At 39.3% G+C, this 23,110-nt stretch overlaps 2 long non-coding RNA genes across 4 annotated transcripts in view, besides 3 other annotated features; one reads left to right on the plus strand and one right to left on the minus strand.

Moving 5' to 3' along the window:
- The window catches only part of LINC02391 (long intergenic non-protein coding RNA 2391), a 104,570-nt gene extending 99,377 nt beyond the window's left edge, over nucleotides 1-5,193 (minus strand). For all 3 annotated transcript variants that reach the window (XR_007063404.1, XR_007063403.1, XR_945205.3), the window contains exon 1: nucleotides 4,952-5,193. This is a non-coding gene — a long non-coding RNA (long intergenic non-protein coding RNA 2391). The remainder of the gene's footprint in view (nucleotides 1-4,951) is intronic.
- LOC105369902 (uncharacterized) overlaps nucleotides 1-23,110 on the plus strand; it is a 39,059-nt gene that overhangs the window by 9,295 nt on the left and 6,654 nt on the right. The window lies entirely within an intron of this gene.
- Nucleotides 4,176-4,265: an enhancer, noted in NCBI's record as "active region_6730". NCBI's record gives its function as "activates an Ori minimal core promoter by ATAC-STARR-seq in GM12878 lymphoblastoid cells {active_cell/tissue: GM12878}" and the evidence as "EXISTENCE:reporter gene assay evidence [ECO:0000049][PMID:35858748]".
- Nucleotides 4,746-4,795: an enhancer, noted in NCBI's record as "active region_6731". NCBI's record gives its function as "activates an Ori minimal core promoter by ATAC-STARR-seq in GM12878 lymphoblastoid cells {active_cell/tissue: GM12878}" and the evidence as "EXISTENCE:reporter gene assay evidence [ECO:0000049][PMID:35858748]".
- Nucleotides 20,378-20,922: a transcriptional cis regulatory region, noted in NCBI's record as "candidate enhancer chr12.2878 targeted for multiplex CRISPR interference". NCBI's record gives its function as "positively regulates BTG1 gene expression with high confidence in K562 cells {active_cell/tissue: K562}" and the evidence as "EXISTENCE:mutant phenotype evidence [ECO:0000015][PMID:30612741]".

The raw sequence follows: 23,110 nt of genomic DNA on the forward strand, positions 1-23,110 counted from the left end.
CTCAAAGTGCTGGGATTACAGATGTGAGTCACTGCGCCTAGCCTGCTTTATGTCATTTTAAAATATAACACTTGGAAATGCCTGCCCTATTTTATATGTATAGGCATGCTTTTCTTATATCCCTCTTCTACTGGACCCCATCACATTATAATACAATCTCCTTGAGACTTGACAGAGTCTTTCTAGGCTGACCATGTAATTTTTGAGAATGAAGAGGTCAGTGGCTCTAAGCAGACAGGGCACTAGGGCAACTGGCATAAATCAGGATTGTTCTGGGCAAAAGAAGATGTATGTCCCTCCCCACTTCCATTTAACATCTCCACAGTGTCCTGCACACTTTAGACACCATTTGAATATTGGCTTATGTGAACTTAAGTCACTTCCTATTGAAAAAGTATTTCAAGCTTCACTAAAGTCGCAATTCCATTGCTTTGTCCACAACAACTGGTTGTCCCTGTTGACCCATTGCAAGAAAAATTGCAGATCAAGTCCAGAACTAAAGATACTTCTTACTTCTAGCCTTAGAAAGAAGACTCTGAGGCTACTAATAAATGCCATACTGTTTCCCTGATTCCTTAGATTCGAATAGTTCCTATTGACATCTGAAACATGAGAAGATCCTTTAGAGAACCTCAGACTTAGAATTCTGGTTTATACACATGACACATTAAGAGAAAACTAACCTACAGTGGCATTATGGCATCAACAATCAGATAGCAAATGTAGTCTGACAAAGATTTATCCCGGCACGTACTGAATTTTAGAAATACGTTCCTTTTTTCAGGATTTTGGAAATCCTAGAAAAGACCAGGATTTGGAGTCAGAACACCTATGTTTGAATCCTAACCTCCATTACTCCTTCTCTTCAAATAAAATCTCATCTGAAAATCAGGGATAATCATAGTACCTCTATCTGTAGAGCCTTTGGGAGAATTAAATGAGATAATGTATGTGAAAGTGTTCCAAACACCAAAGCTCTGTATGAATGCATATTCTCCTTTTCATTCACTATTTAAATCAACTCTTAATTCTATCTCTCTCAAGCAGCCTGAGGCTGGGTCACCAGAACACAAATGTACAGTTACAAGGCTAAAAAAAAAACCAAAAAGCAAAACAACTCATTGTTACATGATCCTTGACAACAGTTGGACAGACTTTTTCTTAAATCAAATGAAGTGTTTTGGCAGCCTGTAAGTGTAGCCTAAAGTATAGCAAGAAAAGAGAATTATTTTCCTTAGGGAGAGTAATTTTAACAGAAGTTCAACTTACACATTTTTAATATCTGTACTTCGAATGTACTGCTAAATGCAAAATGAATATAATTAGTTATGAGATATCTTGCCCTCGGCTACAGTACCCATTAAGCTTCAGCATAATATATAATTCACAACCTATTCATACTCTGTGGTACATTTCAGGACTTCCTATACTGTAGTCTCTTAAAGCAAATAGTGTATATAGTTTCAGAACCTAACAGTTGTTCCTTCATAAGGGTTAGGAGTGGATGCAGCATATCTGTGGTCTTCAAATAATTTAGCCAGTCATAAAAATTTATTATGTACAGGCACTATACCTTTTCATGTATAGGTCACTAGCATGTAAATGAAACTGGCACAACAAGGTAAATGTGTATAAAATACATCACAGAAGAGATAGATTTCTCTGATGAGCTATTTCAGTGATGCAGTAGATAGCAAATGATGATTTTGGAGTATTTTAGAGCCCCAATGTAGAATTTTCAATTTCCCCAGTTTATCCTCCAGAAATTATCACTGTGATATACCTGTGATTGCTGAAAGGCTATCGTACATCTGTAAATGGGCATGCCATTCCTGGTACCTTCTAACTTTGTGATCACTGTCCCCATGCATAAAATATGGAGTCCTGCAGAGCAGCTAGAGAAAGGGTAAGTAGCTCAGAGTCTGTATCAATGGGGAGCTGTTTAAAAATTGATGTTATCAAGTAGGTTCACACATTAAACACCCAGAAAATGTTGGGCCTCCTCCTATGTGGTTTTCCTGAATTCTTGATGCAACCTAGAAGAACTAACGTTAAAAAGTAAAGAGCACAGTACAGACAGTAAGAGTTCTGTTTGTGAAGACTAATACAGGAAGTGATGCTATGTCTGATTCTAGAATATGGTTAGAGTTTCACAGACAAGAAACAAGATCTGTAACTTGATAATTATGTAAATACAGACCTATGTGCAATCAGTCTAGAAGCTCCCTGAAGGCAGGGATGGGTTACCCATATTTTGTCTAACACTTCTTTACATTCTTCTAAGGTGCGTCTTGGACACAATAATCATTGTGAACATACTTGATAACATCAAGTATTAAATTGGGGAAATCAAAAAATACTCCAAAATCATCATTTGCTATCTACTGCATTACTGAAATATCTCATCAGAACTCTCTTTTCTGTGATTTATTTTATACACATTTACCTTGTTGTGCCAGTTTCATTTACATGCTAGTGGCCTATACATAAAAAGGTGTAGTAAGTGTTTTTTATCTAGTTGAAAAGGCTTTAAAAAAGACTTTTGTAACTTGTAACTTTTTCACTGGTTAAGTAGCATCTTAGGAAACAGGGAGAAAGCATTTCAGTTCATTATTCTTCTTCATTTACTGAGTAAAAACCATATGCCAAGTACCATACCCCTGGAGAGGGTATAAGGAGTCTGAGTGTATTACAGCTCTTACCCCCAAGAAACCACAGCAGTGTGGCTAAGTGGAAACTCAAACAAAACAGCATATCAGTTGACAAAAATTTACACATATACATTAGATTCATCGTTGCTGGATATTATAAACCATTCCTGCCATAGTTGTGAAGGACCTATTTGATCTATAGGTCTAAAATGAACCTGTTTGATATCAGAAGCATATGGCAGTAATTGACTTTCAACAATTGACTTTCCAAATTATCTATACCTAAATAATCCCAGAAAAATTATTCAATTTCAGTTATTTCAATTCAGTAGTTTGTTAGGTAGCTGAATTCTTTTTCAGTTTATGGTTGTGGTTTGTGGGTCCAGCCTACAAGAGCTTAACTAAATCTCTAAAACTCCAACATGATTATATGAGTGTATATATACACACATAAATATATGAATATATGTAATTTATATGCATATGCACACACATATATCTGAAACTTGAAATATACCATTTTTGTTCTCTCACTGTCGAATTATGAAGCACAGATCTAATGGTCAGGCTTTTCACCCAGACTACTATAGCCAGCTGTCTTTAGGAGAGTGTGGCTGAGTCCTTGTTATGCAGACAAGAAAAGGAATATTTGAAAGTGCAATGGCCCTGCAAGTGCTCAGATATTCATTGCACACCATGATGATTACATCTGAGAATCTGTTCCTCCTTTATTCTATTTTTTCTTAAGAAATGGTCTTCTCTTTAGGAATGAATATGTGGAAGCAAAATGACTAGTTTATAACAGGCAGTACTCAAAAATGTTGTGAGTACAATGCAGAAACCTAACAGTGAAATTGCAAACTGAGAAAAGGAATCAAACAAGGGCAGAAAACAAGCGTTAAGGCTCGAGAATAAATTACGCATAGGACAAATTGGTACTCATTTTGAGAAGGAGAGGAGAGGTGAATTTAAACAGTCAAGTAATAAAAAGTCATTGTTCGGTAGAGGCTGTCTAGTGTAATGTTTAACAGCATGGACTGTATCCCAAGAATTGAGTCTGAAACCTGAATCTCCCACATACGAGTTCTGTGACATTGAGCCAGATCTTAAAGTCTCTAAATTTCTCTTTTGTTTTGTTTTGTTTTGCATGTAGGGAGAGGAGTATATACTTCCTAAGGTTGTGAAAAGGATGGTTCATAATAAAAGTATGTAGCGTTATTGAGTACATACTATGTGTAGGAATGTTACATGAATAAATTTATGAACCTTCATATTAACCCAATCTGGCAAGTACCTGCACTATTATCACTATTCCTATTTAGTATTTAAGAAAACTCAGGTTTGACTGGATTAGGTGACTTGTCCAAAGGGATACAGTTCAGATTTTTTTTGTTTTTGTTTTTGTTTTATGTAGCATAGAGACTTTTTTCAACTTTTAGATTCAGTGGGTATACATGCAGGTTTGTTACCTGGGTATATTTCATGATTAAAGCTGAGGTTTGAACATGGCAGAGTGATTCTAAAGCCCGTGGTTAAAGGACTATGCTGTCATATTGGCATGTAAAGTGCTTATCATAGCTTAGCATAGAGTAAGGCTTCCACATGCAAATCAAAAGAGAAACATTAAACATTAGCTGAAGAGGAAAACCAAATCACCCACCAGGAGGAAATTGACCTGGCCCTTTCTCCCAAGTGTATCACATGATATGATGTGTGCAGGTGTCAGATGATGCTGAGATGGCCGACAGAGCTCAATTCAGAAACAAGTGATGAGCTCCTTAACAAATTCCCTCAGGAGAGAACTGCCTCCCCTCCCCTTTCAAACGAGGCTGACCTTGAAGTTGTGCCTAAATTGCTCACCACAATCTCAGGCTCAACTTGCTAACTCATCTATCCAAAACACATGCATCCCCGACTTCTCCCTATTTCATGGGGTATCAAAAATAGAGACTTGAACCTCATAAAGTTAGTACAGGCCGGGGTGTTCACCATCTTCATAGCTGATTTACAGTTGCTTTATTAAACTGCCTCTGATCTGGTCAGCAGGCTATGAATGTGAACACCTAGTTAGAGCTGACCTTGAATCCCATTGGAACAGTAGACTTCTTTATTACATTTGAAAACCTAAAAATGTTCAAGGGGAGGTGGAAGGGAGGAGAGGCAGGCAGAGGGTGCTAGGTGCTTTGTTCAACCACCATGGTTCCCTCTGTCGAGATGGAAGATGGCTGTTGCTTAAAGCTTCTGCCCATCTTTGTCCTCTGGAAATATTTGTATTATACAAATCAAAGAATGGAACGCACCTGCCTCCTCCTCATTCTTCTCCCCTCCCCGACACTGGAATGAATGCATACTCTTCACACAGGACCCACAGGAAACCTGTTACCCCAAGTAACTGTTGCATTCTCATGTGTTCAGTCACAGGAAGAATTTCAGTTTCTCTCTTCCCCACGATTGGAGATGAGGCTGAGGTCACGGGAGAGAAAGAGCCCTGTCTTGTCTCCCAACAAGAGGGGTCTGTGCAGCTGCTGGGCCCACAGCAGACAGAAGGCACGCGGCAGCTGAGGCTCTTTAGAAGGCTTCCCACCCACTTCCTGAGTCTGGCTTTGATTTCTTAAAGGGCAGATGCACTTATTCCAGAGTCGCTCCCTGATTCAGCTGTCGGGGGGAGGGTGGAATAAAAAGCTAAAGCAACCATTTCCTTTTCTGTAGCTCCTTTGCTTTGTCTCAGATCCTCTTTTCTGAGTTATCTGCTACTAAGTCTGTCTCTCCTTCCGCTCAGAGCAGCAGTGGCTGAGTTTTGTCGAGTGCTAGATAATCACTGATCTTAATTATAAACAGCCTCAGCTCAGAGGAATGGTTTTGATAGGAAAGTCAACACCAGGACGCAAGATGGGTAGGTAGCAAAATGGAACCCAAGCCAGTTTTCCAATAAAAAACAGACAAAATATATTTATAAGTAAGATTCAATTCATCCTCCACGCAGTAGCAGCCTGGAGGCTCCTTGTGAACTGACCTCTGTCTACTGTCCCCTTTAAACTTTTTTTTTTTTGATACGGAGTCTCACTCTGTCGCCCAGGCTGAAGTGCAGTGGTACAATCTCGCCTCCCTACAACCTCCACTTCCTGGGGTCAAGCAATTCTCCCGCCTCGGCCTCCCGAGTAGCTGGGATTACAAGCACGCATCACCACGCCTGGCTAATTTTTTTTGTATTTTTAGTGGAGACGGGGTTTCGCCATGTTAGCCAGGCTGGTCTCGAACTCCTGACCTCAAGTGATCCGCCTGCCTCGGCCCCCCAAAGTGCTGGGATTACAGGCTTGAGCCACCATGCCTGGCCACCCCTTTAAATTTTATGCTTCAGTAATAGTGTTGATTTTACCTCCAAAATACAGAGCTGTTTCATGCTTCTGTGCCTTTGTGGACTCTTCCCTCTGCCAGAAATGCCTTCTTACTGTGTCTTCCTGGAAATATCTTATTTGACTTTTAAAAACTGGTGCAGACATCACCGCTTCATCTCCCTCCAGTGTTTTTCATTTAATTGGTCTGGGATGTGGCCTGAGCCCTGGGAGTTTTAAGTGCTCCCCAGGTGATTCTAATCTGCACCAGAGTTTGCCAATCACTGCTTAAGGCCAGCAGTTTTCAGACTTGAGCAGGCATCAGAAACAGCTGGAGGGCTTGTTAAGGCACAGATTGCAGGGTCCACCCCCTGAGTGTAGAATTCAGTAGCTCTGGAGAATTTGTATTTCTTTCTTATTTTGTTTTCTCTTTTGTTTTGTTTTGTTTTGTTTTGTTTTACTTTTATGTTTTTGGATCTTGTTGCATACCAAGTTTTTTTTGTTGTTGTTTTTTGTTTTTTAAGGGATTTGCTGATGTTTTTACTATTAGTATTCACATTATTTCCTTTTTTAAAAAAATTTATTTAAAACAGACAAAAATTTTATCTATTTATGGTGTACAACAATGTTTTAATATAGGTACACATTGTGGAATGGCTACATCAAGCTAACTAATATACGCATTACCTTACATGCATGTCATTTTATTTTATTTATTTATTTATTTATTTATTTATTTTTTGCAGTGAGAATTTGCCTTTCTAACAAGTTCCCAGATAAGGCTGATTCTGCTGGTCCTGGGATCAGGTTTTGAGAATCAATGCTCTATTCAAACTCGCTAGCTTGCACAGGTTCCTTACATTGCACTTGTCACCCTGCATTGTCATCCACTTATTTGCATGCCTATTTCTGTCTTTTGAAGGTAAGGACTTTAGCTTTTTTATCACATTACAGAGCACTGCACCTGGTGTATAGTAGATGCTCAACACATGATCACTTAATGAGTAAATATTCAGGGTCTAGTTGTCACAGAGAAAGAAAGTCATGTACAAAATTTATGTCAACTTTTAAACATAAATTATTTAATCCAATAAATATCCCATGCCTCTAAATTTAAATCTAGAAAGGAGTTCTCTAAGCCTCTATGAATGACATCTTGGATTTTGGTGACAGGATTGTGTTGGCAAAGTACTCCTCAGTACACGAGGATAAAAAGGCCCTGTGCAAAAGCAGATTGGATTACATTTACAACAACAACACCTCTTTTTAAACTGACATTTAATGATTATCTCTATCAATAAAGGCCTTTTAAGAGCTCTCCATAAAATGTTGTGAAAAATGAGAACATTTAAAATACAGACAAACAATGGGCCCCATTCATACAGCTTCTTCACATTATTTCTCCTGTATCATGGATCTCAACCAGGCTCACTCACCCTTCTCCAGTGAAGTTGGCACATGTTAACCATATTGATCGTCTGATTACAAATGTAGACTGTGGCAGGGAGTATTTACAAAAGGAACCCATTTGTCCCTGTTACTTGTATGTAGATATCGGACTTAATACACACTCAACTACAAAGCAATAGAACCAGGTAGTAAAATGTTACTCCCAAGGAGATTAGACTCCTATACAGAAAAATGATTTCATTGTTTCATATAACCATATAAAGTAAGTCCAAAGAGATGTTTTTAAAAGTTTCCTAATCCTTACTAATTTCTTAAATACCTACTCCTCAAGAAGAATAAATTCTCTCTCTATTCATTGATCCATAGAATATTTCTAAAAACCTAATAATGTGTTGGCATAGGTCTTTCTGAACCCAAAACCCAGACCTATGTCTTTCTGAACAAAATATGTGATATTGTGTGTGTGTGTGTGCGTGTTGCTTGCTGTCCATTTCAGCAGCCTTCTACTTTGATGACAACCTGATTATTCTGGAAAAAAGCAGTTGCTGTCCTTAGTGGTGCAGCATGTAGTTATTTGGAATTTCAGTAGTATCCAGGTAACATTTTTCATTGAGTCAGTGGGGAAACAGAAGATGAGAAACTCACCCTTCTGAGTTTCTGGTCAATATTTCTTGATTGGAGCTCTGGGTCTCTGGGTCCTCTCTAATTGTTACCTAGAGACTGGATCTTTAGATTATAAAAATATCAAAATACCTGGATATTGACTTTTTGAATTCAGTATATTGCAATTGAATTCCACTTCAACAATAGCAGGTGGCCAATGGGTTGAGTATGATCGAATCAGGAATGAAAGATTCTGTAGACTGTACCTTTCTTTTCAAAAATAAAATTTTGAAAAGTACAGATTTGCCTAAAATATATGGGTAATACATTCAGAGTGCAGACTGACCATGTTTAAGTTGTAAAGCCTGCCGTATGAGGAAGCAGAAACAGATGTAGTAGCTGTTCCCTGCTGGTATGTGCTCTATGTCTTTGGTTGGTTGGGTGGTTGGCTGGTTGGTTTGGTGTTTGGTTGAGTGGATGGGTGGGTGGTTGGGTGGTTAGGTGAGTGGTTGGTTGGTTGGGTGGGTGGGTGGGTGGTTGGGTGGTTGGGTGAGTGGTTGGTTGGTTGGTTGGTTGGTTGGGTGGGTGGTTGGGTGGTTGATTGGTTGGTTGGTTTTAAAATTATCATGACTGCCTTCATTTTTTTCTGTTTCTTCCTCCTCAATCTTAAATGACAGGACTATGAATGTACCCCTGGCAGGCTGTTCCCAATTCTTCAGGGCCCAAGTCAGGAGTGCAAATGGAGGCCTACATGCCTTATGTCTAAATATTTTAAAGTTATAACTGAAGCATACAGACTGCCCAATAAAATATATTTTATCCCCTTCCTAAACTAGTATATCTTCCTAATGACAAATTGTTTTAAATATAAAAGCTATTGTTTTTATACATTTGAAAATCTGTAAAATATCAAAGATGACTGAATTAATATTGTACATGTCTGTGTATTCAATTGATGGGCTGCCAAAGTTTGGGTGAAGAATTAAGTAAAAACATATATAATTTAAAAAGTATTTCATATGCATTTTTTAAAATGTATTTCTTTGCTTTTTTTTAAGTAAATCACAAGTTTGATTCTATTGATAATGATGATCTAAAGGATCAAAAATTAAAATGTGATTATGTCCAAAATATTCAGTTTGAGTATATTTTAATCAAAAACATAAAATAAAGCAAACCTGAAATATAAAAATGATTTTTTTGTTTTCAAAAAGTTATTTTTCTTCTCAAACATTCAAATTATTTTATAACATGAAAAGAGAAATATGAATTATAATTAAGAGGTATAACAAATATGAATAAAGATTATTAAATAAAACTTATATTTTATTTTCTTAAAAAGTAATTAAATATCATTAAATGTTTATAAAACTTAAACTAATCACAATTCCACAGGGCAATGTACATTTAGTTACCAATGTAAAGAACCGATATCTTGCTGGACACATGCTTTACAAAGGAAGAACTGGACAAGTTAAAATAATTTGTTTTTATTTTCTTTATCTAAGTGTGCCTGTCATTCAAATACTCCCTGTCTTCTTAAGCATTTTCTGACTTCCACATTAGCAGAAGCACAATCCACAAATCTTCATGGCATGTGGATGTAGTTTTTTGTTGTTGTTGTTCTTAGGACATAGGTCAACTGATTTGGAGAAGTATTTTCCTGGGGCCTGAATGGTGTGCACCACAGAAGTGAATGTTTTAGGATTTCAGTAATGCTGTGATGGCTCCGAGTGTAAGATTCCAAGTCATAGAGGCCCCTATGTGTTTGCTAATAAATGTAGTGTTTCTGGGTTTGCTATATGCAGGGCACTCTAGGGCTTGGAATTCATGGGGACTTTTATTCTCATATACCTCTGCTTGGCTCAGGCCTTTAGAGATTCTCAATTGGATTATAAGTGTAGCCTCATTTCTTCTAGACTCAATTTCTCCTTGTGGCTCAGAAATACACATAGGTGAGTGAAGAATCATTTTCTCCCTCTTTCAAACCCAGATTCTGAGGCTACTTGTGAATAAATGAAATAAAGCAAATAAAAATATTATCAAATATACCTGTGGCTAAGGAACCACTCAGCCTCTTTTACCCAAAGTTCACCATACAAAAACTGGAACTGCCTAATTTGGCAAGAACAGTTGTGGCCTGATTCCAATTACTGACAGGTGAATGGTATTCAAGACACAAACATTACTTGATGATTAGTGCATATCATCCTTTACATGATTAGGTTCAGCTGCAAAGCATAAAATCATAACCAATATTAATTGAGCATTCATTATGTGCCAGGTAGTTTGCTAAGAGCTTCGTATGTATGATCTCATGTGGTCCTCCCCATTGTCTTGGAAAAGGACTGAACCTTTAGGGAAGTTAAGTAGCTTGCCTAAGATAACACAGTAGGGAAGTAATAGCAATGGGATTTAAACTCAGGTTATCCAATGTGAAAGCCTGTGCACTTAAACACTATTCCACTCTGCTTGCCTCTGTGTTACTGGCATCAGATATAGGGTTGGGAAGGTCTGTGACCAGGTAAGGTCAAGATAGGGTAAACTGAATCAGCTGCCAAGTTGTACCCCAAGGGAAACAACTGCCAATCCAGTATGACAAATCCAAAGGAACACAATAGCCTTGTGTTTGATTTGAACTGATGTCACTTCCAAGGAACTAGGTTGGAGTGTGGACATCACAGCACGTTATAGAATCTTTAAGCTGGTGCTCGAAATAAACTCAATGTGCTGGAAAGGCAGAACTCCAGTCTAAGGGAAGACGGAAACAGAAATAACATTTTTGGGCACTTACTACATGCTAAGGCTTTCACACCTTCTGCTCATTTAATTATTGAAACAAACTTGTAAAGCAAGTATTATTTCCCCCATTTCCCAAATGGGAAAAGAAGTTGTGTAACTTGCCCATGACCAAATAGCTAATAAGAAATGGAACCAAGAAAAATAATCTAAATTAGCTTGATTTCAGATTTGGGGATATTATTATTATTATTAAACAAATCACATTGCCTCTCCAACACTTCGCTGGACCCAACTAAAGGACTAAGTTGGAAAACAGCAGCACAAAGTCGCACCCTCATACCTAGTTTCTTACTCATGTTAAATGATGCCAGTAAAATGCCCTGCAGGTTTGGGGGAAAGGCCTTGACTCAGGGCAGATGGATATGTCCAGGAGTAGCAGCCAAGACTAATTAATTCCAGAGTCCACCCATGGGTAGAGCTCATAGCCCCATACATCTGACCTAGGTCAAGACTGACTCACAAATTGGGCTGGTTTGAGTCCCAGGACATGGACCAAAGTGATGAGACAGATTAGGGCCAGCAAATACTGAGTTGTGTCCTGTTGGTGGGCTCTGCTGGGATGCTTAGCCTAATTGTGCTTCCAAGAGTGAGATCATTATGTTTTTTTCTTCTAACCTAGAAAACCCTTGTAGCTCTTAAAGCTATACCATATGATACCTGTCCATGACTGGACCTATACTTAACAGAAGTACCTAAGACTCAGATGGTCCTTGGAGCAGACAAGGACATCAAATTACTAACTGCAAGTGTGTAATAGAAATCTATTTACTTCAGGTAAAAACCTCTTTCTAGAACAACAACAACAAAAGATTGAATATTATGATGGATTTTTAATTAGGAAATGACCAGAAACAGTGATGAAAAAGGGGGCTTAGATAATATTAGAAGCACATTGCTTTGGATACATGAATAGGAAAAGTGCAAGAACTGGAACCTGTAAGCAAAAATCCATGGAATGTTCAGTTCAGCTGCTGAATTGCCCACAGCTGTCTGGGATATTCTCCTTTTGAACCAGGCTTCTCTTTGTCTATTGAGGTAATCTGTTCCTCTCTGTGCTCTTTTCAATTTCAATATCCATTGTCACTGTCATGGACAAAGTTATGAAGACAGCCTGACTTACACCTACTTGGTCATGGGCTCCAAAAATGAAATGAAATGTGTGTGTGAGGAGGGTGAGTCATTCTTTCCTATTGGAAGTTGCTAATTAATTGGGTGGTTAATAAAGAGAATATGAGGCTTTATATATTCTGGGCTAGAGGATACAGAATTCAAATCACTGCCACATGCCATTTCATGTCAACCAACATTTATAGAGCACCTACTATGTACAAGACACTGCAGAAAGTATGAAAACGGGTAAGCCACAGTCCTTGTTCTCAGGAAACTCAAAATACAGTGTCAGAGATAGAGGTGAACAACTAGCAATAAAGTCAACCCAAATAAAATAAGAGCTAAGACACATGTACAAAGGATGCACCATGAGGGCAGAGAAGGAGCCTCTGCTAAGAAGAGGTAGTGTTGATGGGTGTTAGATGGAGGGGAGAAGGTCATTCCAGGATGAAAGAAGAATGAGCCAGCCAAGAAGTCTCAGAAATTTCAGTCAGAGAAGGAAAAGGAGAACTGAGAAAGTGTCATGATAGCTAGTAAATATGCTCAAATCTTCCTATCCCCCAAATATCATCCATTGTCTGTGCTTCATGTCAACCCTTTGCCCAGTTCTCCTCTTCCCTGCATGGCCAAAGTTTTTACTGTTTTGTTCTTTTCTTGGCAAACTAAATCCTCAGCACCTTTATATGTAGTGAAAGGTATGCTCTTCCCTGCCTTCCCCACCTCACTCAGCTAAAACTTATTTTACTGAGAACTGCTGATACTCAAGATTCATGCATGAGGTGTGACCTCTCTTCCAATATGCCTGGGACACCACGTAATGATCACTGATATTCGTTGGACTGCTGCTATGTGCCAGGCGTTGCTACAATATGTATATAAGTGTTTCCTACAATATGTATATAAGGGGCCCAGATCTGAAGATGGCCCTCAATGATCCACACCTCCTGGCTACACCCTTGTGTAGTCCCCTTCCACATTGTACTGGGATTGGTCTGCATGGCCAGTGCAAGACTACAGAAGTGACAGATGCCACTTCCTAGTTTAGTTGTAAGAGATTATGGCTTCTGCCTTGATTGTTCTCTCTCTAGGAGCACTCATGCTGCAGAAGTCATTGAGAGCCCATGTGGTAGAAAGATGAAGCCTCCTTCCAACAGCCATGCAAGTGAGCTTGGAAGTAAATCTTTCAGCTCCTATCAAGTCTTTGGATTGCAGTCCTAGCTGAGAGCTTGACTGCAACTTCATGAGCCAGAGCCACCTAGATAAACTATTCTTGAATCTGTGATCCTCAGAAACTGTGTGAGATAACGAATATTTGCTGACTTAAACTTTAAGTTTTGGAGTAATTTGTTATGAACAATAGACAACTGATACAGTATGTATGTCTATATTATTGTTTTTTGAGTATAATTCACATAAGATAAAACACACAGATCTGGAGTGTTCAGTTCTGTGGGCTTTGAACATTGCATACAAATGTGTAACCATTACTCAAAAAAGATATACAATATTTCCATCACCCAGAAAAGTCCCTTGTCTCCTTTTCCAACTAATTCCTAGTCTTCTCTCCTATCAGAAAAAAGAAAACCCACCATTTTTGTTTCTATCGTTGTAGTTTAGTTTAGACTATTTTTGAACCTCACATAAGTGGATCACCCAGTATGTCTGTTTTGTATCCAGCTCACCATAATGTTTTTGAGATTTAACTGGGTTGTTGTATATATCAGTAATTTTATCCTTTTAAGTCTATTGCTGATTAGTATCCTATTTCATGAATATACCATGATGTGTTTATTCATACTCCTGTTGATGGACATTTGGGTTGTTTCTGATTTTTATTTATTGTGAACAAGGCTGCCATCATTGTACAAGTCTTTTTGTGGACATAAGTTCTCAGTTCACTAGAGTAAATACCTAGGAACAGAAATCCTGGATAATATTATAAATGCACATTTAACATTATAAGAAACTGACAAAGATTTTTTGAAAGAGTTTGTTTCATTTTACACCCCCACCAGCAATGTATGGGAATTCTAGTTACTTCACATTCTTTCTAGCATTTGGCCTCATCAGTCTTTTGATTTTTGTCATTTGCTGGGAGTGAAATGGCATCTCATTGTGGGTTTAATTTTCCTGATGAGCCATGATGTTGACCATCATTACTGGCCACTGACATACCTTCTTCTATGAAGTCTCTGTTGAAGTTTCATCATGGGTGCCACCTGGACTCTCTGCTGACAGGATGTTCCCTAAAATCACTGCTTGTTGAAGCACATCTGTATCGGCTTCTCCCTTGAGCCCACACCACCCTTTCCCTCAGCACCCTTCTCTTATACACAGTCTTGCCTCCCTCCCTCGCCATCTCTGTCTCCACCCTCCTTTTCATTCTAGGCTCAACAAATCTTGCCCTGAAAACTGCTGCCCCAGTAATAACCTATTAAATATCTACCCCAGTTCTAGCACTGGGCTCAGTGTGGGAAAATTAAAAACAGAAGAGTAGTGGTAGGCTGGTAAATATTTAACAGCTGGCTCTCTGGAAAAAAAAATTAATTAATTAAAAAGAAATTTTTGCTTGTGGGAATAAGTTTATCAGAGCTACATTTATTTTTTTTTTAGTTCTTTTTTTCTACGTATTTGGCTGATATATACATATATAATTGGTTTCTTAATTGATATTTTCATAACTTTTAAATTTTTATTGATCTTAATTGATTTTTAATTGACTAAATAAATTTTATTAAACTTACACATTAATTCTAATAATCTATATACAAATAATTTGCCTAGATTTTCAACATATTTAATTATATGTCATCTGGGAATAATGAGGGATTTACTTATTTCACTCCAATATGTATACCTTTCTTTTTTCTTTTTCTTTTTTTTTTTTTTTTTTGTGTGTGTATTTGTTTGTTTGTTTTGAGACACAGTCTCTGGAGTGCAGTGGCATGATCTCTGCTCACTGCAATCTCCACCCCCTGGGTCCAAACCGTTATCACACTTCAGCCACACAAGTAGCTGGGACTACAGGCATGTGCCACCATGCCCAGCTAATTTTTTTGTATTTTTAGTTGAGACGGAGTTTCGCCATGTTGGCCAGGCTGGTCTCAAACTCTTGGGCACGTGCAATTGGTCTGCCTCAGCCTCCCAAAGTGCTGGGATTACAGGCATGCGCCACCACACCAGCCTACTTTTATTTTTTCTTATTCTATTGCACTGTCTAGGATCCTCCCTACCAATGTTGAAATGAAGCAGTAAGAGTGAGCCTCTTTGTTTTGTTTTTTATTTCTAGAAAAATGTTTCCATTTCACCTTAAAATCTGATGTTTCTGTGGATGTTCTTTAAAGTTTATAATTTTTTAAAATTTCTAGTTTGCCAAAGGTTGGTTATTATGGAAAAAATAAATTTAAAACACCCTGATGTATATACCAATTTTCTGTGTGATAAATACTCCCAGCACAACCACTTCCAAGCTATCAATGTAACTTCACTAAAGGTGGAGCTGGGAAGAGATACAGAGTAGCCCACCTCATAAACCATGTTTCCACATGACAATTGTCTTTCATAATAAGCCCATAGGAGCCTTCCCCCAGCACCACTGGTAAGGGCTAACAATTAATTTGGAGGAATGATTGACAAATAAGAGAACAGCACAAAATAACATACAGTTAAGTCTTCTTGTGCATTGCAAAACTGTAGACAGATTAGAAGTAAAGAAAATGCCAAAAGCTGAAAGTAGTGGTTCTCACCCTTGTCTACAAGTTGGAATAATCTGGGAAGCTTTAAAAACATTCTAATACATGGGAACTACCCCTAAATATTTAGAATTGGTCAAAAGTAAGGCCAAAGCATTGTTTTTTGTTGTTTGTTGTTTTTCTTTCTTTTTTAAAAAACCTCATCAGCAGATTGGACCTAGATGATTTTAAAATCTAGCGAAGGTTTAGAACCACTGGTTTAAAGAAGGATGAAGGTTTTGACAAATTTGGATAACTGGAGCAGTGTGGGACGGTACCCAAGCAAAAGAAGTGGAACAAATAAATGAGTGGTAAATGCTTCAGGAAGATTGAGAAAACTCGCTAGACAGGAGCTAGGCAATCTTAGACGGAAGTGGCAAGAAAAATAAATGATTTTAAAGCTGTAGATAAAAGGTTCTTCTGTGAGAACCTGGCCCCATCTCCACAGAACTCTAGGTTTCCAAAGAAAGCGAGCCTCAGGTTCCCAGCAAAGGACCCTTATTTCCCATGAGGGCTGATGTGACATTGCCAAGTCAGTGGCCTTGAGAGTTGGGGACTTGGACAGGAAGATTACTCTGCCTCAGACCCTGGAAAGCCAGGAGAGAATTCAGACTTCTGGCATATTGAGCTTAAGCAGATTTTATTTAAAAGAAAATTCAGTCTGGTATGTCTTAGTTCTGGTAGGTCAGTATGCTTCCAACTTTGATGACCATGTGAATCACCCAGGTGTCTTGGTAAAATTCAGATTCTGATTTAGTGATGGGGCCTGATAGTCTGTGTTTCTAACCAATTTCCAGGTGCTACTGATGCTACTTAGGGTCATAAGGCTAAAGTTAACAAGGCATCATTTACTTTAGGGTTGTTTTACAAGAAAAACACCATGCTTAAATTGACTTGTGCTCTCATGTTTGGCTGGGGATTTGGGCCTATTTTACAGCAGAAATCTGCCCTTTATCCAGAGCCTGGGCAACCTTTAACACAAGCTCCCCTCTCCTGTCTTCTCTTTCTAAGTTATTTTTCTATTGACCTTCTAAATTGATCTTCTCAGTCCTGTGGGAAATTCTTATCTGGCTAACTAGACTTATGTCCAGATGCCCAATACTCATCACCTTTTGGGCTCCCACTTATGTGTAACACACGTGACACCTATTACAGATGTTATTATTTCCACTCCTCAGCTGAGGAACCTAAGGCTCAATGAATGATGGAAAGTTACCCCAAACCTCCAAGTTAGTGGCCACACCAGGATATAATCCAGGTTTGTTTGTCTCTCAAGCTACCATTCTTTCTGCTTTCAGTGGCTTTGAGTCCACCCAGGCCCAGCACAACAAACCACAAATCTGCTGACCTAGCTCCCAAACCTCAGCTGAAAACTACACCTCTATTCTGGGGACCTGCAATTTATTTATTTATTTATTTATTTATTTATTTATTTATTTATTTATTTTATTTTTGAGACAGAATCTCACTCTGTCACCCAGGCTGGAGTGCAGTGGTATGATCTCGGCTCACTGCACCTCTGCCTCCCAGGCTCAAGCAATTCTCCTGCCTCAGCCTCCTGAGTAACTGGGATTACAGGCACCCGCCACCACACCAGGCGAATTTTTGTAATTTTAGTAGAGACAGGGTTTCACCAGATTGGCCAGGCTGGTCTCAAACTCCTGACCTCAAGTGATCCTCCAGCATTGGTCTCCCAAAGTGCTGGGATTACAGACATGAGCCACTGTGCCCGGCTAGGACCTTCAATTTAAAGTGCATCTCCATCAGAAAGAGCAAATGGAGGTTGTTTCAGACATGATGCAAAACAATATACTTACTTACTGAGTTGAAAATAATTTGAATAGTCTTTTTCAAACTATCCTGATATAGTTTGAATATATGTCCCTGCCAAATCTCATGTTTCATTGTAATCCCCAATGCTGGTGGTGGGGCCTGGTGGGAGGTGTTTGGGTCCAAGGCAGATCCCTCATGGCTTGGTGCTGTCCTTGCCATAGTGAGTGAATTTTCATGAGGCATGATCATTTAAAAGTGTGTGGCACTGCCCCCCCCCTTGCTCCTGCTTTTGCCATGTGACACACCTGCTCCAACTTTATCTTCTGCCATGAGTAAAACTCCCTGAAGCCTCTCCAGAACTTGAGCAGATGATGGTGCCATGCTTGTACAGCCTGAAGAACTGTGAACCGATTAAACCTCTTTCCTTTATAAATTACCCACTTTCAGGTATTTTCTTGTAGCAATGCAAGAACAGCCTAACATGTACACTCTCAATTGAATTCAATAAATATTTACTGGCCGGGCACAGTGGTTCACAACTGTAATCCCAGCACTTTGGGAGGCTGAGGCGGGCAGATCACCTGAGATCAGGAGTTCATGACCAACATGATGAAACCCCATTTCTGCTAAAAGTACAAAAATTAGCTGGGAGTGGTGGCAGGTGCCTGTAATCCCAGCTACTCAAGAGGCTGAGGCAGGAGAATAGCTTGAACCTGGGAGGTGGAGGTTGCAGTGAGCCGAGATCGCGCCACTGCATTCAAGCTTGGATGACAAGAGTAAGAGTCCATCTCAAAATAAAAAATAAAAATTTACTGAGCATATACCAGGTGCTGGGCAGTGCTAGGCACCTAGTGATACAAAGAAGAAAAGAATGGAAGGAAATACAGATACAAGTACATTTCATGTTGGCCTTAATGCACTATCAACTTTTACTAGGAGTGTAAGAGTATGAGTCAAATAGGAAAAGGAATTAATTTTATGGGGAGGGCAGAAGGATGTTGTTCTAGGTATTTATTGACCTTAGGGGGTTAAACATCAGGAGTTATATCATCCCTGCCTTTTCATTAATAATGAATAATAGCTAATCATTATACTAAACCTTTATTGAACACTTGCTGTGTGATAGACGCTGTCAGTCACTTTCCCTGCATTACTTCATTTCATCCTCACAATGACCATAGGAGTCAGGTACTATTATTACCCCCTCCTCACAGATGAAGAATTGGAGAATTGGAAATGTTTAAGTAACTTACCCAAATCCCACAGCTAGAAATTGACAAAGCTCGAATTCAAACCCAAGTCTGTTTGATTGCAGAGCCCTATTCTTGATCTTCACATTTGAGAAAATGTAGCTTAATGAGGAGCCTAGCAGGGTTGGGATGAAAGGGGAACCATCATTTAATGAGCAGCAATTATGCATTAGGCCATGTGTGCAGGCCAGGATGCATCACACCTCATCAGGAACACGTCTCCAAAGACAGATCCTGGATAGCAAAATAAATTTATTGGGCGATACTGGGGAGACTTACATTCTAGGCTTGCTCAAGGCAGTTGGAGTATGGAAATATGATGAACATTTCTGTTACTCTCAAAATCTCCTGTGTCGGTCAGTAAATTGTATGGTCACCCCAGGCAATACTATCATGTAACACCACAGAAAATTGTGTCCATCCAGGTAGGAGAAAACATCCTGAGAGTTAAAAAAAATTGGCTATTCAGTTGTTCAGTCTTTTTCTTTGTCTGTCTCCATCTCTCTTTTCAATTTTCATTCACTGAACAATGCATTCTCCTGTGTTTCTCAGCACTTTATCACACCCTTAATGATTCTAGACCTTGTATATCCTCAGCCTTGGCTTCAGAATGTTGGAGACATGATGCCAATTCCAGTTCACAACAAAGCAGCATACGTAGTAACCCAGATTGTCTCCCGGCCACTGAATATTGACCCAATGCTGTTCATTGCTGTTGAGAGCACTAAACTTCTCTTCAAACCAACCAGCAGCTGCAGGAGTGAAAAAAGAGTGTGAGACAATAGCGTCTGAGTTTACCAACACTTCGATCATTCGAAGCCTTTACAGATAAATCATCTTCAAGAGAATAAGTGCTCCCCAAGTGTATACTTATGCTGGCGGTTGAAGGGATCTTGCCTGTAGATGCTCTGATGCTTCAGAAAAGAGAAAGGAAAGGAGGTCTGGGTCCCTTGTCCCAGCCTGTGGGGTCTCTAGAGAATTCGTCACAACCACTCTCCTACCCCCTAAAATATGGAGGTTGGGCTGAGCCACAGGCAGGCAGGCAAATCTACTGCAAGCTCCCTTACATTTTTCTATGGCGTTCCATGGGGTAAAGAAAGTTTCCCCAAGGATTTTGCTTCACTCTAACAATGGGACAGAAAAGAATTTAGGAGGAGAGCATAAGTCCATTTAAAACTGCATATAAATGATATATTGTGATCATATACATATAGTGATCAACATCTTGCTCTCCCACTTTTCAGAGCCCTTTCCCACACATGGGCTTGTGTGAAGCTGAGTAAAAGGAGCAAAGGTTTTGGGGTCCGGACTCGAGTTCGGATCCTGGCTTTTCCACTCACCATGTTGCTTACCTCTCCAAGCCTCAGTTTCCAATGTTTCCACTAAACAGCTTTGTTGTGAATGGAGTTAGATAATAGAGGTAACGCCCCCAAAACATGGTATGCACTTGAGAAATGATAGCTCTCCCATCATCCACAGCACATCACACACAGAAGTCATTATCCAGGTGTTTGTTGAAGAACTAGCTTCATTTTGCAGATGAGAACACTGAGACTCTGAGAGGTCAACTGACTTGCCCAAGGTCACAGCTAGCAAGAGGGTAGTTTTCTCATTACAAATCTGTGCCCCAAGCAATATTCTTTTATGCAACCTTTGGGTTTGGAGTTGTACTTCTAGGTAGGTCAGATACCAGAATGAAGAAAAATATTCAGGAAGGTCTGTTCTTTGAAATCAGCCTTTGATCTTCACCAAAACTGCCTTGCAATTTTCAATCATGAAACCTTTGCAAAGGGTTGTTTCCTCAGAAGCCTGTGTTCAAACCTCACACTTCTGTGAAATAACTGCTTTATGCCTTAAGACTGTCGATTTGTGTTTGAGTTCAGACATTTGGTAAGTGGAGGATGTTTTGAAGGTATTATCAGTCACTGTCTCATCCATAGACTGGATGAAAGGGTCGGCATCACAGTCACATGGCTTTGCTAAATTGTCCTGTGTCTTATCTTTGTCTGACAGCAGCAGAGCACACCAGATAGGAGGGCACTGTCAGAACACTCTTGAATACCTTAGCCTATGCCAAAAACAGATGAAGATATGGTTGAAGAAATACGGCTCAAGTAACTAAGAATCATTGCTACATCAACTATTGTAGCATGAAGCTGCATTGGCTGTGTTTATGGTCTCTTTTAGCTTAAAAATACTATGCCATTTTATTCCACTCCTCTGCTCCATACCAGTTTTATTGTTGACCTCTTGACCTCTTAAAAGTTTGGTCACATCTGGGGCATCCTGCAACAGCAGTGCTTCCTATTGAAAAAATTAAATTGAGGTGGGCCAAGACCTGGTCTGTCCAAAATATGTAGCCCTAAGCACCCTGCTCTTTGTAAACGATGATAATATTGCCGACCCAGGGACAGAGTTCTTTTTTGCGTGCAAATAAAGCTCAAAATCCAAGAGGCACTGGTACCATTTTTTAAAGGCCTACACCAGTAAAGACTATCTGCTCCTCCATCTATCCTTCTCTTTGACCTTCTAATTTTTACTCTTCAAATATCTCTTGGTCACCTGTTATATTTCAGGCACAGTGCTAGATACAAGGACTGTGGCTGAACTCTCATAGAGATTATAGTAGGAAAGATAGACAAAAACAAATCATTTCACAAAAATTTAAGAAGAGGCATGCTTCAAGGAGAAGGATGCCAGGAGTGGGCAGATAGGACATCCTAAGAGAGACAATTTAGCCAAATGCCTGAGAGAATGATGGGCTCTGGAATCTGCCCAAGAGGCTCAAGTCTTATTCTTCCTCTCACCATCCCTGTGACAGTAGCCAGTTGCTTAATCGCTCTGTGCCTCAGTTTCCCCAGCTATAATATGAAGCTATAATAGTACCTTCCTCTCAGGGTTGCTGTGGAGATTAACTGAGATAGCACATGTGAAGCATGTAGAACAACATCTGGTACTAGCAAGTGTTCAGCCTGGGGTGGGGAACATACCTGACCTGTGCTACCTGTGGACCTCTCTAAGCAAGTAAGCTGGGACATGAAAATAAATAAAGATAAGCATAGCAAACCACCATGACACATGTTTACCTGCGTAACAAACCTTCACATCCTGCACGTATACCCCAGAACTGAAAATACAAATTAAAATTAATTTAAAAAGAAATAAAAGTAAATAAGAAAGAGGTTGGGAGGTAGAGGAGAGAGAAAATGCAGAAAGGGGATGGGTAAAGGAAATGTAATGAAAAGGTAAAGACCCCAAAGCAGATGGGGTATGGCACTCTGGAAAAAATAAAGGCCGGTGGCTTAGGAGGATTGAAAGCCAGATGGGAGTAGCTGAGATGAGGCTGGAGCTATCAGAGAACCAGATCCTGGGGCACTTTGTAGGCCAGTTAGTTGAGGATTTTGGATTCCAAGAGCATCCAATAATTTGACCAATCATCCTTTCAACTGGAAATCCCTTGCAGAAACGTGAACATTACATTATTTATCTTTAAAGGAACACACTCTACTTGATAAGGAGGTGAACAGAGAAACCTTAGCAGTAAAATATCTTGGGCTTGTCTGTAAATGATGCCCTTCCCCAAGTGTCTCCATCTGTATTCTTAATCTCTGTCCCTGCAGGCCATCATTGCTGTCAAATATCAAACTACCCTCATAGAACTGATTAACTGATTTTCTTGTCAAATGATTACATTCAGATAATTATATTATGGCTTTTAGGGACATATGATCAATTTTTATAATACATCCAGAAGATTCTTGAAGACACTAAAATTTAATCCTTGTTCAATTCTATTGTCCACTATTTTTTGGTTTAGGGCTATAAAATATGCTATCTTCTTGATTTATCTTACATTTTTCAAGTTTTTTCTTCCTTTTCATTAGCTTTAAAATTAATTAATTCAAAAAAATTTTTGAGGGAAGGTCTCATGTCACTCTGTTGCCCAGACTAGAGTACAGTGGCATAATCTCAGCTTACTGCAACCTCTGCCTCCCAGGCTCAAGCTATCCTCCCGCCTCAGTCCCCTGAATAGCTGGGACCTTACGCATGCACCACCATGCCTGGCTAATTATTGTATTTTTTGTAGAGTTGGGGTTTCACCATGTTGCCCACGCTGGTCTCGAACTCTCTGGCTCAAGCAACCCACCAACCTCAGCCTCCCAAAGTGCTTGGATTACAGGCATGAGTAACAGTGCTTGGCTAGCTTTAAAATTAACTCTTAATAACCCCTGAAAGACATTATTGTTTTCAACAATGATGAAAAAAACTGATAAAATAGGTTGATCATGAATCTTGGAATCTTCAGTCCTGAGTTTGAATTCTAACTCTGCTGTGTGACCCTGGGCACACAGAGCAGTTGCAAAATAAAGTAAGAAGTTCAGTGCCTCTTTAGAAATCTTGCCCCTGGGAACAGTGGGTTGGCTCTTATGTATCCTGCAGAGGAGATG

This window comes from Homo sapiens, chromosome 12 (genome assembly GCF_000001405.40).
Source record: "Homo sapiens chromosome 12, GRCh38.p14 Primary Assembly".
Classification (NCBI taxonomy): domain Eukaryota; kingdom Metazoa; phylum Chordata; class Mammalia; order Primates; family Hominidae; genus Homo; species Homo sapiens.